At 44.6% G+C, this 21861-nt stretch overlaps 1 protein-coding gene across 22 annotated transcripts in view; it reads left to right on the top strand.

Annotated features, from left to right (window-relative positions):
- The window catches only part of SLC2A9 (solute carrier family 2 member 9), a 269246-nt gene that overhangs the window by 187913 nt on the left and 59472 nt on the right, over nt 1–21861 (top strand). For all 22 annotated transcript variants that reach the window (XM_011513867.4, XM_011513858.2, XM_047415973.1 and 19 more), the window contains one exon: nt 17350–17477. In XM_011513867.4, the coding sequence (XP_011512169.1) occupies nt 17350–17477 (128 nt within the window). Of the gene's footprint in view, nt 1–17349; nt 17478–21861 lie in introns of those variants that run through there.

Here is a 21861-nt window from a genome sequence, read left to right as displayed (position 1 = left end):
TGGCGTGAACCCGGGAAGCGGAGCTTGCAGTGAGCCGAGATTGCGCCACTGCAGTCCGCAGTCCGGCCTGGGCGACAGAGCGAGACTCCGTCTCAAAAAAAAAAAAAAAAGAATACTGGATATAGGCCCCCAGTATCTTCTGGCTTATAGGGTTTCTGCTGAAACATCCACTGTTAGCCTGACGGGGTTCACTTTGTTGGTGTCCTGCCTCTTCTCTCTAGCTGCCTTTAACATTTTTTCTTTCATTTTGACCTTGGAGAATCTGACGGACTATGTATCTTGGGGATGTTCATCTTATATAGTATCTCACAGGGGTTCCCTGCATTTCCTGAAGGAAATTTTCATGGACAATATCCTCAAATATGTTTTCCAAGTTGCTTGCTTTCTCTCCCTTGCTTTCAGAGACACCAGTGAGTCATAGATTTGCTCTCTTTACATAATCTCATATTGCTCAGAGATTTTGTTCATTCTTTTTATTCTTTTTTCTTTATTTTTGTTGACTGAATTATTTCTGAGAACCAGTCTTCAAGCTCTGAGATTTTTTCTTCATCCTAGGCTATTCTGCTGCTAGTACTTGTGATTATATTATGCATTCTTGAAGTGAGTTTTTCAGCTCTATCAGATAAGTTTGGTTTTTTCTTAAAATGGCCATTTCGTCTTTCACCTCCTGTATTGTTTTATTGAATTCCTTAGATTCCTTGGGGGTTTTGACTCTCCCAAATCTCAGTGATCTTCATTCCTATCCATATTCTGAATTCTATGTCTGTCATTTCAGTCATTTCACTATGGTTAAGAACCATTGCTGGGGAATTAGTGTGGTCATTTGGAGATAAAAAGATACTCTGGCTTTTTGAGTTGCCAGAGTTCTTGCACTGGTTCTTTCTCATCTGTGTTGACTGATGATCCTACAATCTTTGAGGCTACTGACCTTTAGATAGGGTTTTTTGCTTTTATCTTCTTTGATGCCCTTGAGGGTTTGATTGCAGCATGAGGTGGGTTCAGTTGACTGTCTTCATTTCAGGAAGATTTTAGGGAGCCAACGCTCAGCTCAGCACTCCTGGGTTTCATGCTCTGGCTCTGGGGGACTGACATTGGGCCCCTAGATTTGTTCTCTGGCCCCTCAAGGTTAGGAACCTGCTACGCTGAATGGGCCGAGGTGTTCCCAGCCCAATGACCACAACACTTCGATGGGTGTGCCAGCCAAAGCACTTCGGCAGTGGGATCCATGCTCGCTCAAGTGTGCCAGCAGCTGCAACAGTGCAGTGGGGTGCACGTGCATTGCCTGGGGTGGGGCACCAGCAGGAGTTGGGTGGTGGTGTTCCTGCATATAGCTGCACCAGTGATGAATGGCAGCAGCACAGCAGGGGTGGGACACTGGTGGGGGTGGGGTTGCCAGCACCTGTGCTAGCCCTTGCACCAGTGGGGGTGGGGCACTGGCAGGGGCAGGGTTGCCAGTGTCCATTTGTGCATTCATGCTGGCAGTGGCAGCATGGTAGGGTACCCATGTATCAGTAGGGGGCACAGCAGGGTACGCACATGCCAGCAGTGGTGGCATTATGTGATGAATGCACACACATGTGCTGGAAGAGAGGGAGGCAAGGTCCACTCACAGTGCACCAGCAAAGCGATGTGGGATGGTGGGGGAGTGGGGCACGAATGAGTGTGCACCAGTGAAGGGAGGCTGCGGTGAGGGGAGGCTGTGGGTGAGCTGGTGCACACCAGTGGGAGCCAGTCTGCTAGAGTTCTTCGATGGTCTGACATGGTCTGCTGGCAAAGAAGCCATGAAGAGGGTCCCAGGGAAGCACCCTGGTTGGGCATCTGATACTGCCCTCTGGGCACAACCAGGCTGGGGCCCCAAGAGAGTCCAGCAGATGGGGGGCATTCAGAATGTACCGGCCTCATCCCACAGGCAAGGCCACCCTGCTCTGTCCAGGTCTGACAGTCACACTCCTAGAGGAGCATGGCAAGCCTTGGGGAATGGGCATCACTGGCCATGCTTCACTGCAGATGTTCCCACACCAAACCCTCTGGGCAACACACAGGCTGGAGTCCTGCCCCTGCCACCTGTCTAAGCAGTTCTCCCTGTCGTCTCAAGTGTCTGTGGGGGTTGTGGGGTATCCTGCTGCTAGGATTCTGGAGGTCCATGGTGAGAGCGGGCCATTCCTCACCTGTTCAACTCATCCCTTCCCCAGGAGTCGCTGGGGGCCAGGAAACAAGTCCCATTGCTCAGCAGCCCCGTGCAGGGTTCCCAGACTTCCCTGCTTCAGCCCAGCATCTGTATCCTCCCTCTATCCACTCTCAATGCCTTCTCTCTGAAGATGTGGCTTGAGTGTGCCAGTCTTCCTGATGTCCCGGTCTCTCGGTGGGAGATGTTCCTCCTAGCTCGACCATCTTTTATCTAGTCACTCTTGCTTTTCTATTTCAACACCCCCTCCCAGCACCATGCTCATCCAAAAAGGAAGAATGTTAAAATGCGCCCATGAGAACCTACCAGCAAGACTGCTGACCTCCGTCTCTATTGAAACAGAAACTCCTCACCAAGCTTAGAAACAGGTCATCTGAGTGTGCTTAACTCACCACCAAACAGAACACATCACTGTAGGTTTGTTCTGAGAGACTTTAATTGTGTTTTCTTACCTGCTAATTAACTGTCCACACTCATTATGCTGTAGCAGCTTCCTCTTTTTAATTAGAATTAACAGTCAATTTGGCCTTTCATGGCCCATTTGCTCCTGAGACTCTTCAAAAACATCCTCTCCCCCAGACAGTCCAGGATGGTAATGTTCAAGCCTATTGATTCAACTAAAGAACACAGATTTTAAATCCCACTGGAAGAAAGTCTATGTCAAAACATGCTAATTGATAGTCAAGAGGAAGAACCACTTTACATTTCCCTAGAGCAGAGTTCAGGAAACAATCTAAGTCTCATGACTGATCCTACACAAATTCAAGTTAGAATCACCATGTATGGTTGTTAACAATGCTGAGAGGCACGAACTTCTTTTCACAAACAACTTCCCTTTTGTTTCTGGAGTTCTGAACTACTGTTTCCTAACCAGTGTCCCAGTCTGCCTCCACACCCTCCTTCTGCTGACCCATATCCCACTCTGCATCGGGGACACTTTTCAAATCACAAATCTGATCCTGTCTTTCTCCTCCTAAAACCCTCCAACAGGCCTACAGCTTCTGCCTGCAAACTCCTGCCCCAAGCATGGCCTCCTAGACACCCTAGAATCCACCCCTGCTGGCCCCTCACAAGATGCCTCTCCTGTCCCACCTCCCCATCGCAGCCCAGGCTCTCACTGAACGTGCACCCTGGTTAGCCCTCCATCTCCTCAACTGCATAAAGAATTTCTGGCCAGGCACGGTGGCTCACGCCTGTAATCCCAGCACTTCGGGAGGCCGAGGCAGGCGGATCACAAGGTCAGGAGATTGAGACCAGCCTGACCAACATGCAGAAACCCCGGCTTTACTAAAAATACAAAATTAGCCGGGCGTGGTAGCGGGTGCCTGTAGTCCCAGCTACTCGGGAGGCTGAGGCAGGAGAATGGCGTGAAACTGGGAGGTGGAGCTTGCAGTGAGCCGAGATCGTGCCACTGCACTCCACTCCAGCCTGGGTGACAGAGTGAGACTCGGTCTCCAAAAAAAAAAAAAAAAAGAATTTCCACTCATCCTTAAAAGATCTGTTTAACTGTCATCATTTTCCCTTCATCTGCACATTCAGCAAACATCTGTCAAGCACCCAAGAGACAGACATGATTGGCTATGGGGCAAGCAACAGGGAGAAAAAGAGACAAGATGCCTGCCCTCGAGGAGCACAATGAACAAGCAAAAGATAAATGCAAAGATGATGATGCAATCCATGGAAATAAATAAACATGAGGCTGTGATCGAGAATAAGGTAGTGGTGGAGGGACCTGCCCCTTTTGCCTAATTAATACATGCTCATGTCTCATGCCCATTCCTGGAGAAGTCTCCTTTCCATTTTTTTTTTTTTTTTTTAGAAAACACATCCCATGTGGTGAGACCACAGGCTTGTGTAGTTACTTATGCTGGCTACCTGGTTGGGCTGTGTAGAAGGGGAAAAAGGCGCCATTGCTTCTTTATCCTATACTGGGAGCCAAGCTCATGTGAAGTAAATTACCCATATCCTTGTGTGCCTTGAAATCTTTCCAAAGCTCGGGGGCATTTCCAGCAGTGGGAACAGTCTAAGCATGGGTGGGCACCAGGAATTCCTAGGGAGGACACAGTAGAGCAGTCAATCAGGCTAGTTTGGAAGTCCTGGATCCTACTCCTCTGAAACACTGGGAGTCTCACTCCACCTCTCTAGCCTCAGTTTCCCCACCTGAAATATTGGGTTGGGGCTGGCCTAGGGGGTCCCTAAGATATTTTCTGCCTCTAACTTTTGCAGTGTCTCTGGATACAACAGGAGGAAAATTCCTTTGCTCTTTCAGTTCAGACCAGTGACTCCTGATAATTTGATCTTCCTTGCCCAAGATCAACAATGTCTGATGCCATATCTGATGACATTTTATCACTCCTTTTCTAAAATAATTAGAAACCCTACAAAGGGAAAACCTTTCAAGAACACATAGAAAGTGCTCAATAAATTTTAACTATTTTTATTATTACTGCCCAATGAAGGAGAACGTTAATCTTGTGCTCAGGGCTGGTTTTCTTGACTCAGTGGACCTCAGATGCTGACGGCTCCTTGAAGGCAGAAGTTGAATCAGCTTTCTGCCACCATTGATGCCCCAGCATGGGTTCCTGGCACGTAGTCCGTTCCCAGCAAACACTGAGGGGATTAATGACAGGCAGAAGAGGAATCGCCGTAATCATTGATATTGATTGGGCCTTTGCCAATATGGTTTGGCTCTGTGTGCCCACCCAAATCTCATGTCAAATTGTAATTCCCATGTGTCAGGGGAGGGACCTGGTTGGAGGTGATTGGATCACGGAGGTGGTTTCTTTTATGCTGTTCTCATGATAGTGAGTGAGTTCTCATGAGATCTGATGGTTTAAAAGTGTATGACATCTCCGCCTTCACTTTCTCTCCCCTGCTCCACCACAGTAAGATATACTTGCTTCCCCTTCCCTTTCCACCATGATCATAAGTTTCCTCAGGCTTCTCCAGCCGTGCAGAACTGTAAGTCAATTAAGCCTCTTTTCTTCATAAATTACCCAGTCTCAGGTAGTTCTTCACAGCAGTGTGAAAACGGACTAATACAGCCACACATTAAACATGTTGCTAAGCATTATCTCATTTAATCCCCAGTACAGACCTAAGAGGCAGGAACTCCTGTTCTGTCCTCATTTTATGTACAAGAAAATGGAGAGCCAGAGATACGACTTACCTGTGGTTACACAGCTTGGAAGTGGAGAGGTGGGAATTTAAACTGGGTTAAACCTGGTGACTAAGAGAAAATATATCTAAAGGATTAAGTGACATATGGACACACTTGTGGAGATTTTTAAGGAGATTTCTAGGCATTTGGGGGGGCTTTAGAAATTGATGATAGTGGTTCCACTGGAATAATTTTAATAAATATGAATTAAGGAAAAGTTTGGGTGTGCACTTTATTTCTTTTATGTAAAAATGAAATTACAATTGAGCTTTCTCTGGTTACTTGGGCAAGAGTTAGTGCCAATGGTCTTAGCTACTAGCCTGGCTACCTCCACATGGTAATAATTTGCCATGTGCCAAGTAAGCACTATCAAGGTTTCGACTTTACTGAGATTTTAAATAGCTCATTAAATGAGATTATAGGCAAGGAAACTGAGGTCTAGAGAAGGACCAAAGCCTCTCACCTGGTGGTCAGCAGAGCCAGAGGAGCCCACTGAGAGTCAGGGTGAGTCAAGGCTCTGCAAGGAGACCCCAGGAAGCATCTGCTATACCTCCTCATCCCTAGTTGCTCAGCAGCCTCCCCTGCCTCCCTACCTAGGAAGCACATGCCTGAGCAGGTGGGTGTCTAAGCTCCTCTCAGAAATGAGAGGACAGACCTGGCATACATCCTGTGAGGGGAGGAGCTTCCTGTGTGCACTCCAGTCCCACCCTTTCCAACATGCTGCAGGGCATGAGTTCTATTTGCTGATATATCTTGGCTGTTGTCATGGAACACATCTGTTTGGGAGCCTGTGCATTTTCAAATTCTCAAATGTCTCTCCTAGAGAAAGGGCAGAGGAGAGAGTCTCTTACCTGGGTCCGGATCTCTTGGATTCGGAGCCAAGTCTATCATTTACTGCTCGTGCCACCTTGAGCAAGTCACTCTCTACTCTGGGTCGCAACTTCTTCACCGTTAAATGGAGTTAGAATAACTGCCTCCCAAGATAGTTCTTACATCAACTAGTAGAGTCTGCAATTGCCTAGCACAGGACTTGACATGTAAATGTCGGATGGAAATGGATGAACGAATGGATGAACAAGATTAAGTCTATTTACATAAACAAAACAGAATGCCCGTGAAGAGTTTTCAAAATGACTGTATTTCAATAAAAGAAAAGAGCTATTTTTAAACATGGTGCTTAACGGAAAATTTATTTAAAGGATTAAGTGACATATGGATACACTTAAGGAAATTTCTAAGGGGGTTTATAGGCATTTTGAAGGGCTTTAGAAATTGATGATCAGGGCCGGGCGCGGTGGCTCACGCCTGTAATCCCAGCACTTTGGGAGGCCGAGGCGGGCGGATCACGAGGTCAGGAGATCGAGACCATCCTGGCTAACACGGTGAAACCCCGTCTCTACTAAAAATACAAAAAAATTAGCCGGTCGTGGTAGCGGGCGCCTGTAGTCCCAGCTACTCGGGAGGCTGAGGCAGGAGAATGGCGTGAACCCGGGAGGCGGAGCTTGCAGTGAGCCGAGATCGCGCCACTGCACTCCAGCCTGGGCGACAGAGCGAGACTCCGTCTCAAAAAAAAAAAAAAAAAAAAGAAATTGATGATCGTGGTTCCATTGGAATAATTTTAATAAATATGAATTAAGGAAAAGCTTGGGCAGTTGTCCTTTATTTCTTTTATTCAAAAATAAAATTAAAATTGAACTTTTGGCTGGGCGTGGTGGCTCACGCCTGTAATCTCAGCACTTTGGGGGGCCGAGGCAGGCGGATCACGAGGTCAGGAGATCAAGACCATCCTGGCTAACACGGTGAAACCCCATCTCTACTAAAAATACAAAAAATTATCCATGTGTGGTGGCGGGCACCTGTAGTCCCAGCTACTCAGGAGGCTGAGGCAGGAGAATGGCATGAACCCAGGAGGTGGAGCTTGCAGTGAGCCGAGATTGCGCCACTGCACTCCAGCCTGGACAACAGAGCGAGACTCTGTCTCAAAAAAAAAAATTGAACTTTTTCTAGGGTACGTGGGCAAGAGTTAGAAAATAGAGAGGAGGGAGAAAGGGCCTAAAGATAATATGTAGGAAACATTGCTGGAAGCAGAAATAACAAAGCTGGCTTTACAGAAATACCACAGGTGTGCATTGCTAAGCACAGTCTCATTTAATGCATAAAACAAAACTAAGTAGGAACTATTGTTATCTTCATTTTATAGATGAGAAAACTGAGAACCATAGATACATGTGGTCACATAGCTAGTAGGTAAAGTGATGGGAATTTATATCAGGTTTATCTCTGGAGAAAGAAAGGTAGCAGATTGTTCCTCACTGTAGACACCAGGGCGCTGTCGCCACAAGACAGCTTGGTTGTTAGACCAGCTGAGCTGTAGCACAGATTCACAGAGAACAGAGATCTGGAGGAAAAGTCAGTTTTCAAAAAGTAAGTCTCATATGAAGAACGTGCATAATTCAATTCCTTTTCACTTGAACATAACTAAGTATAACTATTAGGAATTTACCAATGAGGGGGAAGAATATTTCTTTGCTTATGAACATTTCTGAAGGAAAAATAATGGCATTACTAATGAAGTAGATAATGTCTCAAAATTATTAGGAATATTTTTAGGATATCTACAGAATTTTTTAAATTACTTGGCAATTCTTTACATAGAATACTCAATTAATCAGCACGTATTTTCTATTTTCCTGGCAAGAAGGGAGAAAAATGAGTGGGGGAAGGAGAGATGGAGAGAAAGAAAGAGGGGAATAAAATAAATTCAAGGTGAGGGACATATACCTCAATCCATATCACCTCTTGTTATTCTGTAAAGAAAGGAGTCAGAAGGACTTTTTTTTTTTTTTATTATTATTTTTTTTTTACTAAATCTGGCTCTTCCACCAAGTTTCATTACCTTGAGCAAATACATTTCCCTCTCTGAGCTTCATTTTCCTAATCTGTAAAATAAGAGTTTTTATTTTACCTAGAGTCCTAGGCAGTATCATAGGATTCTATGCCTCAAATGCATGGATTCAAATCTGGTTTCCTTTTCCACAGTGCATGTGCTACTAAGGCAAGAGCCACTATATGTTATTGGGGAAGGCCTTTTCTGCCAAAGCAAATTGGTGGGCAAACCACCCACTCAGGAAAAACAGTTAGTCAACAAGTGTGGCTCAGTGTCCATGGGATCCAGGAGCCAGGAAGCTTACTCAGATCACAGGATGAATATTCTCCTGGAACATGCTTCTTCTGAATAATAATAATCATCATTAAAAGCTATTGAGTGTTCATCACACCTCAGACACAATTCAATGTGTATTCTCTGCATTAGGTCCTTTAAGCTTTGCAATGACCCCATAAAATCAATTCCATTGTCCTTGCTTTACAGAGGAGGAAAGTCGAGCCAGAAAGGTGAACTAATGTGCCCAAGGTCACATAGAGCCTGCAAGTGGCAGAGCCAAGACTCTAACCCAGATGGTCTGATTCAAGCAGCATGCTCCAAACTATAGTATCAGACCCCCACCCAGGCCCCTAACTATAGTGTTACACCCTCACCCCAGGCCCCTAACTTTAGCATAAGACCCCCACTCCATGCTCCTAATTAGAGTGTGGGACCTCCACCCCATGTTCTTAATGCTAGTGTTATACCCCAACTCCTGAAACTAGTACTTAGGTGTATATGATATAAACATTTTCTTCACTGTTGTTATTAGTAATGGCTACCTGATTATTGCAATAGTCAATGAGAAGTTAAACACTTAAGGAATAGATGGCATAGCAAAGATTCTTGTTATCTTCCCCAAATCCCTTTGTCCACACCCCTTTGTGATTCTCAGACAGACCTACAACTGCTCCCGTATGTGGCTTTTTGCTTGAGGACTTCCCCAGCTCTCTCAGCCCACATTGTGGCAGGCCAAAAGCACTGCTCAAAGTATAACACTCAATGAGTGACTGATGAGACATGGTGGATAAATAATCCAGCCCTCCTACCCCTCAGACTGGGTAACTCTGAGATGTGTTTTCCACAGTTTCCCGAGGGTCCCAGTTGGATTAAGATGTGACTTCCCATGGTGGTGTTGCTAATAACATAGCCCTTATCCACCTCTTTCACCTCCCTGCACTCTTCCCTGCATTTCCTGGGATCAACTGGCACATAAACTGCTTCTCAGGGTCTGCTTCTGGGGCAATCCAGAATAGGATACTCAAACAAGATAGCAAAGAAGACTCTAATAAGATAACAAGATGAGTGGACCCACATACATAATTATTTGGGGCTAATTTTCAAAGTTTAAGCTATATTGGACTGTTGGGCAACATATATTGAGTACTGTGATATGAAGAGTACCCTGTGCAAGACACATTGGATACAGACATGACACCTTCCCCATCTTTCTGTTCTTTTGAAATGAGAGGTGCCATCAAAAGGACATGGTCAGAAGACCCAACTTCATGTCCTATCTCTTCCAGTCACAAGCAGGACTAGTAACTGGGCAAGGCCCTCTATTCCCTGAAATTTCAGTTTCCGAATCTGTAATTACAATTCATAATTCATAGTTTGGTCATGAAGAAAGATTTGATGAGATAAGGTGTGCCAAGTATTTTTATGAATAAAAAAGTCCACAAAAGTAAAGGTCGCAAACCACAGAATTTTAAAGAAGGCACTCTCTTGGCAAAATCCTTTGTAAGAAGGGATTGTTTTCACCTGCTCTTTAATTTTGAAGCATATGATTTTCAGATGAGCAGCACCTACACACCTACCACAAGAAATACCAATAACTTACCTTTGAAAAGCTAATAATCAAGGGATTTTAGGTAAATATGGTCATGTATAGACTTGTTACAGAACCTTCCTCCTGCAAATACCTAAGAAAATGAGCAGGAAAAGAGTCGTTAAAATCAATAACAATACCAACAAAGCAAACCTTTACACAGATTGAAAAAAAATGGCCAGCAGTAACCAAACAAGGAAATATATCACATACCTAGAAAACTAGCAGCCAATAAAGGATAATTCTAGCATAGGAGATTCTGTCTCCACTCTTTAGAAAACAGCACTGACCAGAGAAGGAGATTTTATGAACCCTAAGAACTCTTGCTACCACCTTGATTTTATGGGGGAGACAGAGTGAGCAGGTGAGTCAGCAATTGCAGAGAAAGATCAAGAAGATACCTTCCCCCCAAACAGCCCTCTCAAAGGGTCCTGGGGATTGCCACTTCCTAAGACTATGTCCTAATTTGAGGAAACCAGTTAAAGGCCACTGGAGTAGAATATGCCCCTGACAACATGGAATGGGTTCCGGTGCATGTCACTTTACAAAATCTAAGAAGAGAGAGAGAAGAACCCAGATCCTCCATAAAGGGCTGCTGACACCCCTAACCAATTTTTCTACCCACCCCACCCCTGCCACATTTTCCCATAATTTATTGAAAACTTACTGAAAGTTAGTACTCAGATCTCAAACTGTGATGTGAAAGCCAAGATAAACTAGAAGATAAAAAGAAAAGGTGTCAAAGATCGGTCTTCCATCATATCACAGCAGGTGGCAATCTGGACAAAGTAGCTCACTGCAATAAGGATAAGAGAAATGGAGGACAATGCACAGGGAAAGAGCCAACCTGGGAAACTAGAACAAAGAAGAAAGGAAAGAAAGGGAGAGAAGAAGGAAGAGAGAGATTTCCCAGAGCATACAATATCTATGCAGAAAACAAGAGAACAAAGTCGCTCACGAGATGGCCAATAGGAAAGGGAAACAAAGCTGATCCAACACAAGGATAATGGGTGTCTCTAAAGCAAAGAATCCAACATGTAGAAAATAAGACATTTTCAAAGGTATAACATAAGAAGTAAATGAAGAGTGGATCTGCAGCTCAAAGGGATATGCTATGTTCTACAAAAAGTTGCTATAGGAAAATCAACACCAGAATATGATTTGGTTCTGTGTCCCTACCCAAATCTCATCTCGAATTGTAATCCCCACATGTCAGGGGAGGGACTTGTAGGAGGTGATTGAATCATGGGAGTAGTTCCCCCATGCTGTTCTTGTGATAGAGAGGGAGTTCTCACAAGATCTAATGGTTTCAAAGTGGAAGTTTCCCCTGCTTTCTCTCTTTGTCCTCTTTTGATATGGTAAGACGTGTCTTGCTTCCCCTTTGCCTTCCTCCACGATTGTAAGTTTCCTGAGGCCTCCGCAGCCATTTGGAACTCTGAGTCAATTAAATCTTTATTCTTTATAAATTACTCAGTGTCAGGTATATCTTTATAGCAGTGCAAAAATGGACTAATACAACCAAAAACATCATAGTTAATGAATTTCAAAGATAAAGAACAATTTCCTCAGGGTTCTAGGTAGAAAAAGGCAAACACCTAAAAGACAAATATCCCAAGTAGCCCCAATCTTCTTCACAGAACATTTAACATCAAAGCTAAATACCAAAATACAAATGGAGATCATCTCTAGGTGGAAGGCTTAGAGGTAATTTTTGTTTCCTTTTTATACTTTGTCATGTTGCATGCTTTAAAAAATTATTTTACATGAGCAAATATTATTCATGAAAGTCAGAAAAAAACAATAAAACTATTTTCATTCTTAAAAACAAAATAAAAATAAAAGAAGGCCTGCCTGAAATGCATTCTGTTTCTTTATCAAACCCCATTCTTTCTCATTTTACCTTGGATTGGAAGAAAGAGACCTTAAAAGACTCTTAGGAAATCAGGCCACCAAGGCCTTCAGTAAGAGAGATAAATGAATTGCAGGGTTTGGGAGAGCATTCAGATAAAACTATGAAGATAGCTAAGTTCTTTTCAAGTATTTTAAGTTTTGTTAGTATCTTAGACTTGCTTGGGGCCCAAGGGAGTAGTTAAAACTCATGCTGTGGAGTTACCCAGAGTCACTGAGTTTGCAGCTTACTGGTGATGTGCTCTTGAAAAAATTACTTACCTTCCACAAGCCTAAGTTTCTTTGTATAGTAAATGGAAAAATAATAGCAGTAACTATCATATCATAGTGATAATTAAATAAGATAATATATGTAAAGTGCTTTTTTAAACTTTTATTTTTAAGTTCGGGGTACATGTGCAGGTTTGTTACATAGGTAAATGTGTTTCATAAGGGTTTGTTATGCAGATTATTTCATCACCCAGGTACCAAGCCTAGTACCTATTTGTTATTAATATTTTTCCTGATCCTCTCTGTTTTCCCACCCTCCAGTAAGCCCCAGTGTGTGTTGTTCCGCTCTATGTGTCCATTTGTTCTCATCATTTAGCTCCCATTTATAAGTGAGAAAATGTAATATTTGGTTTTCTGTTCCTGCATTTAGTTTGCTAGGATAATGGCCTCCAGTTCCATCCATGTCCCTGCAAAGGACATGATCTCATTCTTTTTTTATGGCTGCATAGTATTCCATAGTGTATATATACCACATTTTCTTTATCCAGTCTATCATTGATGGGCATCTAGGATGATTCCATGTCTTTCCTATTGTGAATAATGCTGCAATGAACATACACATGCATGTATCTTTGTATTTGTATTCCTTTGGGTATATACCTGGTAATGAGATTGCTGGGTCGAATAGTAGTTCTGTCTTTAGGTCTTTGAGGAACGGCCACACTGTCTTCCATAATGGTTGAACTAATTTACACTCCCACGAACAGTGTATAAATGTTCCTTTTTCTCCACAACCCAGCCAGTATCTGTTATTTTTTTAGTTTTTAGTAATAGGCATTATGACTGTTGTGAGATGGTATCTCATTGTGGTTTTGATTTACATTTCTCTAATGATCAGTGATATTGAGCTTTTCTTCATATGATTTTTAACCACATGTATGTCTTCTTTTGAAAAGTGTTCATGTCCTTTGCCTGCTTTTTAATGGGTTTTATTCTTGTAAATTTGTTTAAGTTTCATATAGATGCTGGATCTTTGTCAGATGCATAGTTTGCAAAAATTTCTCCCATTCTATAGGTTGTCTGTTTACTCTGTTGATAGTTTCTTTTGTTGTGCAAAAGCTCTTTAGTTTAATTGGATCCCATTTGTCAATTTTTGCTTTTGTTGCAATTGCTTTTGGTGTTCTCGTCATGAAATCTTTGCCTGTGCCTATTTGCCGAATGGTATTGCCTAGGTTGTCTTCCAGGGTTTCTATAGTTTTGGGTTTTACATTTAAGTATTTAATCCATCTTGAGTGTATTTTTGTATATGGTGTAAGGGAGGAGTCCAGTTTCAATCTTCTGCAAATGGCTAGCCATTTATCCCAACAACATTTATTGAATACAGTCCTTTCCCCATTGCTTGTTTTTGTCAGGTGTGTCAAAGATCAGATAGTTGTAGGTGCACAGTCTTATTTCTGGGTTCTCTATTTTGTTCCATTGGTCTATATATGTGTTCTTGTACCAGTACCATGCTGTTTTGGTTACTATAATTCTGTAGTATTGTTTTAAGTCAGGTAGTATGATGCCCCCAGCTTTGTTCTTTTTGCTTAGCATTGCCTTGGCTATTCAGTCTCTTTTTTGGTTCCACATGAATTTTAAAACGGTTTTTTATGGCTCTGTGAAGAATGTCAATGGTAGTTTAATGGGAATAACATTGAATTCATAAATTGCTGTGGGCAATTTTAACAATATTAGTTCTTTTTATCAATGAGCATGGAATGTTTTTCCATTTGTTTGTGCCATCTATGATTTCTTTAAGCAGTGGTTTGTAGTTCTCCTTGTAGAGACCTTGTAAAATGCTTTTCATAATGCCTGCCACAGTTACCATCATCATCTTCACCAGCAGCTACAGAAGCACCATCGTCATCATCATTACCATCATCATCTTCTTCATCACCATCACTTCTTGCTAAGAAACCTTGCATATATTACTCCCCTTCTCTTAGCTTCAGCTAACTCATCATAAAATGGGGGATATAATGGAGAGGAGTCTTGATTATTATTATTATAGTATCTAACACCTATTGAGTGCCCTTCATGTACAAGACTTATATTAAGTGTTTGCATTTAGTAGTTCATTTCATGCTCACAAATATCCCCAGTAGCAAGCTCCTACTCACTTTACAGGTGAGAGAATTCCGTTCTAGAAAGATTTAGCTGAGATAGGACTTAAACCTGATCTTACTAACACCAAAGCCCAAGCTCCAGTCCACTATGCTTTACCACCTTCTCTGGTTGGGAAGATCAAGGGAGATAATGGGAGTGAACACACCTGTGTACAGTGGAGCTGTGCAGGCTCCTCATGGTTGCTTAGGGCTTGGTCTGAAGGCCTAGTGAAAGAGAGGATCTGATATCAATGTACCATGAATTCCCTGGCATCCTAATTATTTGTTCTTTCATCAATCCTGCAAACACTTACAGAGCACCTGGTATGTGTTCAGCACTGTGCTAGGATCAGGAGTCTTAACCAATAAACAAGTCATGGCCTCAAGCCCTGAAGAAACAAAGAGATGTACCAGGAGGCAATTTGTCAGTGTTCTACTGCATTGTACATTGATGTACCGCATTCCATTGTACCAGCCTCAGAAGTACTGAGTTATCCACAGGTGCTTCCAAAAACACACCTAGGAAAGACACAGAAAGTGAAACATCATCACCTAACCCTGTTCAGGCTTCAGAATTGCTGTGAACTGATTCCCAGTGGTGTTAGCTGCAGGACCAACTGAGTGTGTGACACAAACACTTTCTGACAATGAAATATTTTGCAGAACCAAAGGCTGGTTTCATTACATTTCAGTGTGTAACCATTATTCTCACACAGTTCAATAGATACCTTTAAGATATAGAGTCTAATATTTTTGTAGTGAACAGCATATCAAATCTTGTCAAAATCAACTTTTGAGCATTTAACTTATGTAAGTAAATATTGATGGAGTATCTACTCTGTGGGAAATGCCAGACAAATGGAGATAGTGCCTGATCAGAGGGGCTCACAGTGTAGTGGGAGGTGAGGGGACGCTCCATTCCGAGTTGTTTTTGATTTGTTGGAGTGCAAGCCTTGCTGGCATCATAGTGGGGTGATAACGGTGAAAGGTCTGGAGAGATTCAGACTTGAGTTGGCCTTGGCTTTGTGGCTTTGTCACCCTGGGCTGCTTGGTTGGGTCGGCTTGCTAAGTGATTGTGTATGTGCAATGCTTACCTTGAAAGCTTTACCTCAATGGAGCAATTGTCTCCAAATTCAGACCCTTCCTTTCATCTCACCTGCCGTGATCTGAGCCCCCCTAAACAACCATTGCCTCCTCCCTGGACTGCCCCAACAGCCTGCTGCATCCTCTCCTACACCCTCCAGGCTTTTCTCCAAAGAGCAGTGACCTCTGTGAAATGCAAATTGATCACCTCAACTGCTGCATAGCAGCCCAAAGTGGTTTTCTTCAACTGCAAACCCCTCTCCATGATCTACAAGAGGCTGCTTCATTGGCCCTGCTCACATTTGCTACCTCACCCCATTCCTCTCTGCCTCCTTCAGGTGTCTGGACAGATTGGCCCCTGTTGTAGACTTTGGCCCAATCCTTTCACCTGTAGGACCTCTGCTGGCCCCTCCCTCCACTCGGCATGATCTTCCCCAGATCTTCAGGAGCCACCTTCCCGTCTTCAATCCACATCTCCACCATCTCCTCCCCAGAGCATCCTTCTCCACCCACTGCCAAAATAGACAGTGCATCTCCTCCAGAATGCTTATCACATTTTGTATTTATATGTATTTATTCATTTGCTCACTCCCCTTTTTTATTTTTATTTTTTTATTTCCATAGGTTTTTTGGGGAACAGGTGGTGTTTGGTTACATGAATAAGTTTTTTGGTGGTGATTTCCGAGATTTTGATGCACCCATCACCCAAGCAGTATACATTCACCCAATTTGTAGTGTTTTATAACTCACCCCCCTCCCACCCTTTCCCCCGAGTTCCCAAAGTCTGTTGTATCATTCTTTTATCTTTTTTTTTTTTTTTTTTTTTTTGAGAGGGAGTTTCACTCTTGTTGCCCAGGCTGGTGTGCAATATGCTTGATCTCGGCTCACTGCAACCTCCACCTTCCAGGTTCAAATGATTCTCCTGCCTCAGCCTCTCGAGTAGCCGGGATAACAAGCATGCACCACCACGCCCAGCTAATTTTTGTATTTTTAGTAGAGATGGGGTTTCACCATGTTAGTCAGGCTGGTCTCAAACTCCTGACCTCATGTAATCCACTGGCCTCTGCCTCCCAAAGTGCTGGGATTACAGGTGTGAGCCACCGCGCCTGGCCCCAGTTGTATCATTCTTATGCCTTTGCATCCTCGTAGCTTAGCTCTCACTTTTGAGTGACAACATACGATGTTTGGTTTTCCATTCCTGGACTCACTCCCATTTTAATGAACAAGTCATCCCAGCAGACAAGGGTTCCGCATGAAAGCAAGGACATGTTGCTTTTGACCTCACTGTTGGAACAGCCCCAGCACATAAATAATTGTTGGATGTTGACACAATGAATGCCTCCAGCCTAGTAATTTCCAAATTGTGTTCACTGTCTCTCTAGAGTTTAGTAAAAGTCCCTGAGGGATTTCCCATCCATTACCCACTCTGTCTTGTCTGAGAAACACCCAGGTGTAGATCTCATTGGCAGAGTGGTGACTCCAGCTGGAGATGGGGAGGTTCAAGTGGGATCCCAGCAGTCATGCTGAGCCCTAGGTCCTGGTCTGGGCACAGGGCGTGATCACTGGTCTCACTGTACAGGATATGGAGGAAAGGAAGGGTATAGACCTGAGACCACATGTGAGTTTGGAAATGTGTAGGGTTGGCTTGGGTTGTGGTGGTGACTGGAGGCTCTCCTGGCATCAGAAAGTAAAGGGTAATAAATGCCCTGCAATTGCACAGGACAGTCTCTCAAAATAAAGACTTGTCCCACTGCAATGCCACCAGGGCGACTCAGGAACTGGGGCCCACTACACATCCAGTCAAGGGGCAGGGGTGGGGGGGTTCTAAAGTGTGGCAGATGGAGATGGATGCTGGAGGCATGACCTTCTCAGAGTGATTAATTCCATGTCCTGGCTCACACACTGCAGGTGGCATCCCGTTCATCTTGACTGGTGAGTTCTTCCAGCAATCTCAGCGGCCGGCTGCCTTCATCATTGCAGGCACCGTCAACTGGCTCTCCAACTTTGCTGTTGGGCTCCTCTTCCCATTCATTCAGGTATGACTGACAAGGAGTCTTTTGCCCATGGGGTTCCCTTTGATTCTGCAGCACTTGAGGGGTGATTCATAGAGCAGAAGTTGATCTCTCTCCTCTCAACTGGAAACTCATGCTATTTTCCTAAGGAAGGAAGAAACTATGCTTTGGGCAAAACCTTTCATCCCTTTCTCTTTCCTGTGCCTTCCTAGAGCTTCCCTAAATGCTGTGGGCTCTTTCAGAGGGTGTGGGCTACCCATTGCTGACGGTATGCAAGGACTCCTAGGTTAGCAACTCAAACCTACAACCTACTTATCATTTTTACAATGTGCTCATCACTGTGTAAGACAAATTCCATCTAATAGTTCCAGTGCACACTGCAAACCACCACCCATTTAACATCCTCATTGTCATCATCATAACCACAGCTAATGGGATCATTGTCCCAAGGGTGACAGTGATCAGTAGGAAAATGCCCACATACTCAAGAATCAGATACAAGTCTTTTTGGGTAGGGAAAGGATCTGTTCATTGGAAACCGAATTCATTAATTCAACACATATATATGTTGAGTCCCAGCTGTGTGCCAGGCACTTTTCTAGGCAATGAGGATACAGTGGTAACAAAGCCTGTGTTTCCTGGTTCTGGAGCTGAACGGGGAAACAAAAGAGGCATAAGTGCTATTTTAAATGGGGCAATCGTGAAGGGCTCTGGAAGGAGGTGACCGTTGCGCAGAGGCCTGAGTGAAGTGAGGGAGCAGAGCTGTCTGGGAATGGTGAAGTCCTGGCTAGAAAAACAGCAAGTGCAAGGGCCCTTAGGCAGGGCTAATATTTGGCCTGTGTAAGAAACCACCCAGAGGCCTATATGACTGAAACAGAGTGAGCAAGAAAGATGGGTGAGAGAGAGGATCAGATAAGAGGGTTATCTGGGAGCAGGAACACAAAAGGCTTTGCAAGCCTTCTGCACAGAGCAAGGGGCCCAGAAGCATTTGCAGAAGGAGGATGAAGCTTCCCTGCTCAAATGCCCACCAGGGCTCCCTGCTGCCCTCAGTGCTGGGTGGTACCACCTGGAGGAGGTGAGAATCCGTCATATACATCACCACCCATTCTCAGGAGCTATTTCAATCCTGTCTTCCTGTCTTCCTCCCCTCACCAACTATTCTGGACACTCAGTTCTAAGTCCGCCTGCTAATTTACTAGTGCCAAGCCCAACACATCCCAGAGATTCTGCTGCCAGCTTGGGTGAGCCAAAGGTCAGTATTTGCGGCACTCCAAGCCCCAGCCACCCCAGCATGGTGGCTGTTCCTGCATTCACAGTTACGGAGCAGTTGCTCTGTGCCGCACCCTCCCCCATGCATGGCTTTCTGTGCCCACATCACCCTCACACAGTCCTGAGCTGGAGTTTCTGATCCTTGCCACTGTACAGGCAAGGAGGTCCAGGAAGCAGACATGGTCAGCCCAGGTCCCACAGTCAGCATCAAACCCAGTTTCTCCACTTCACCACCTTGTGCTCAACTTCCCTCTCCATCCATCACTTGCTACAGCCTCCTCGTCTCAGAGTTAGAAGGCTGCCACACCCTGTAACTTTCAAGACATCTTTGTGTTTTAGCAACAAACACTCTATTTCTGAAACGTAAGGGCTGCTGGGGGCTCCATGAGCCATGGAGTTAGTCAAGATCCCACACTCATTTATTCCCATCCTGGGACACCTTCACGTGGCTGCAGTCAGAACATAACAAGTATCTTTTCAATTGACTTTAAACCTTAAGTGGCTTTTTACAGTTTGGCTCAAAGCCAGCAGAGCCAGGTGTCAGTAAAATCCTCATTATTGTGGCAAAAGTTAACTTCAAGCTGCTTCTGTCAACATGGTTCCCCCATCACATTTATAAATTAAGTAGAGAAGTTCCAGCACCTTCACATGGCCCAGTACTGAGATTTGTATGTCCGAGAAGCAGGCCACTATCTTCTGAGCCACTCAGGGGTGTGGGGTGTGAAAGACCTTGCTTGCCTGCCACAGTTTGAGCATTAACAGCACCAACATGCCACTTTAGTATAGTGTTCACTGAATGCTTGCTGTGTGCCCAGAGTGCTCCACCGCTGCCTGTGCTAGGAGGTAGTGCCTGTATCACTCCCTTTGACAGGCAAGGGGATGAGCTCAGAGAGATGTAGTAACTTCCAAGGTCACTGCACTTCCAAACCTAGATAATTTTTTGTATTTCTAAAAACTGGAATCAATTCTTTGTTTTGTTCTTGCTTCTCTTGCCTGTCATTTATGAGCCTTTTCTTATGCCTGTGGGCATTTTCGAAACAAATCCCCTCTGGAAACAGTTCCTGAGAAGCTGGGTATGTCCAGGGTGTCTGGGTTTTCAGGGGTCATTCGGGAAACATTGCAGGTGTGACTATTGATGAACCTTCATCGGAGCAGGAACAGCCAGGCTGGACATACAGATGGAGACACTGGGCAGGTAGATACGTTTAGTATTTTGTGAAATGTCAGCCTCCTGACCCAAGCCTGGGAAGGCACCCACGGTTAATTTCCTTTCCGGAGAGGAGCTTAGCAAGTTAGAGAGCTGGGCTCAGGGGGCTGCTGTGAGCAATGATCAATGCATTAGAGAAATACAGGGCTAACAAGTTCTGAGTCACATCCCCCAACCCCAGCCCACCACAGCCCCACTCACGCCCGCCCATGGGAGCAACGTGTATGTGTTCTAGATGCCATACGTGAACCATTTCTGACCTACCTCCCTTCTGAAAACCAGCTCAGCCACAATCAAGAGCTACTGTGTTCATCTACTCGGGCCTCGGGCCGCCATGACCAAATAGCACAGACTAGGGAGCTTCAACAACAGAAATTTATTGTCTCACAATTCTAGAAGGTAGAAGTCTGAGCTCAAGGGCTTAGCACGGTTGATTTCTTCTGAGGCCCCTCTCCTTGGCTTGTTAATGGCTGTTGTCAAGTTCACAACTACACCAATTGTTATCCCCAGGGTCAGGTTCCAGCTCATGCTGAGGTCCGAAGGGAGTGGGTGGATGAGCAGACAGCTGGAAGAACACTCAGGGGGCCGTAGGCAGGTGCAATGTAGTCTCTCATGAGAAGCTCACTCACACTAGTTCTCTCACACTGTCCACCCTGTCTTGGCTGCTTAGTCCAGCAGCTCCCACACATGGCTGCACTGCCAGCTTGCCCTTCAAGGTCAGCAGCTTAACTCTTTCTCTGGGCACCAGAACTCAAGCTATGTCCTGGCTCCCCTCTTTCCATTTTGCAGATGGACAGCTCTGGTTTTCTCTCTCTTTCTCTGGGCGGCAGCGCAAGAGTGCATGTACAGTGTCAGCAGGGCAGTTATACCTTTTACAGACAACAGTGGTGTAGGGCCAAGGGATGCCCTTCCCATGTTATGGCTACATGGCTGTGATAACAAGTAGAGTTATACACCTGCCCTCTAAACTCACTGAGTCACTCTGGATGTTTACCTCAGCCTACCCTTGACCAAAGCACAACCATGTTCCTTGCAGCTGTCTTCTCCCTGTGTCCTCGCATGGTCTCCCTTCTGTGTTGATCTGTGTCCTCTTCTCCTCTCTTATGAGAATAGCAGGATATTGGATTAGGGCCCCACCCTAATGACCTCATTTCAACTTAATCACATCCTGAGGTGCTAGGGCTTAGGACTCAACGTATGAATTTCAGGAGGGACGCAGTTCAGCCCACAGCAGCCACCAAGAGAAACTACTCACACAACTTGATTGTTTCACTTATTCCAATAAGTATCAGTGGCAAATGTATTCCAGCCCCCAAACAGACCCCTAAGAAGCCTGGGCTTCTTCCTCAGAATAAAATGTCTGAGCCAGTAGAGCCACAGACAACGGCACGAATCACGCCTGTATTGAAGCCCATGTATTAGCGGAGGGCCCTGAGCATGCTCCTCAAGCATGGGTTTCCTCTCCAAGCCTGGGTTTCCTCACCTGTAAAACAGGGAAAATCCTTAGCCTTCTCATCACCAACAGAGAAGGGAGGCAACTGTGGTTGTGGGGAGGAGCCCACATCCCTTCATGCTCACCTCCACACTCTGGCTCTGGGATCCTGTTGGCAGCATTTGCTGTGGTCAGCATCAGTGTTGCTTGGGCCATTTGTTATAAAGCCTGCGAAAAACACTCTCCAGTGTGGAGTGCCAATATTTTCCGATTCAGAGAAAATTGCATGCAAATGTATGCCTCTTTGATTCTACTCAAGTTATAAAATGCAGTTTGAGCTCAATAAATTCTGGAAAAGAGCAAATTATTCTTTTCAACCTGAAGAATATTGGGTCATATCCTGAGTGCCTAAGCAGAGTGAGACGGGCAGGACTAGTCAAACTTTTTCTGAGCTTTTTGTTTTTCTTCAACTTTTATTCTAAGTTTGGGGTACATGTGCA

This window comes from Homo sapiens, chromosome 4, assembly GCF_000001405.40.
Source record: "Homo sapiens chromosome 4, GRCh38.p14 Primary Assembly".
NCBI lineage: Eukaryota > Metazoa > Chordata > Mammalia > Primates > Hominidae > Homo > Homo sapiens.
Note: the sequence above shows the minus strand (reverse complement) of the source record. Positions and strands in the feature narration are given on the sequence as shown.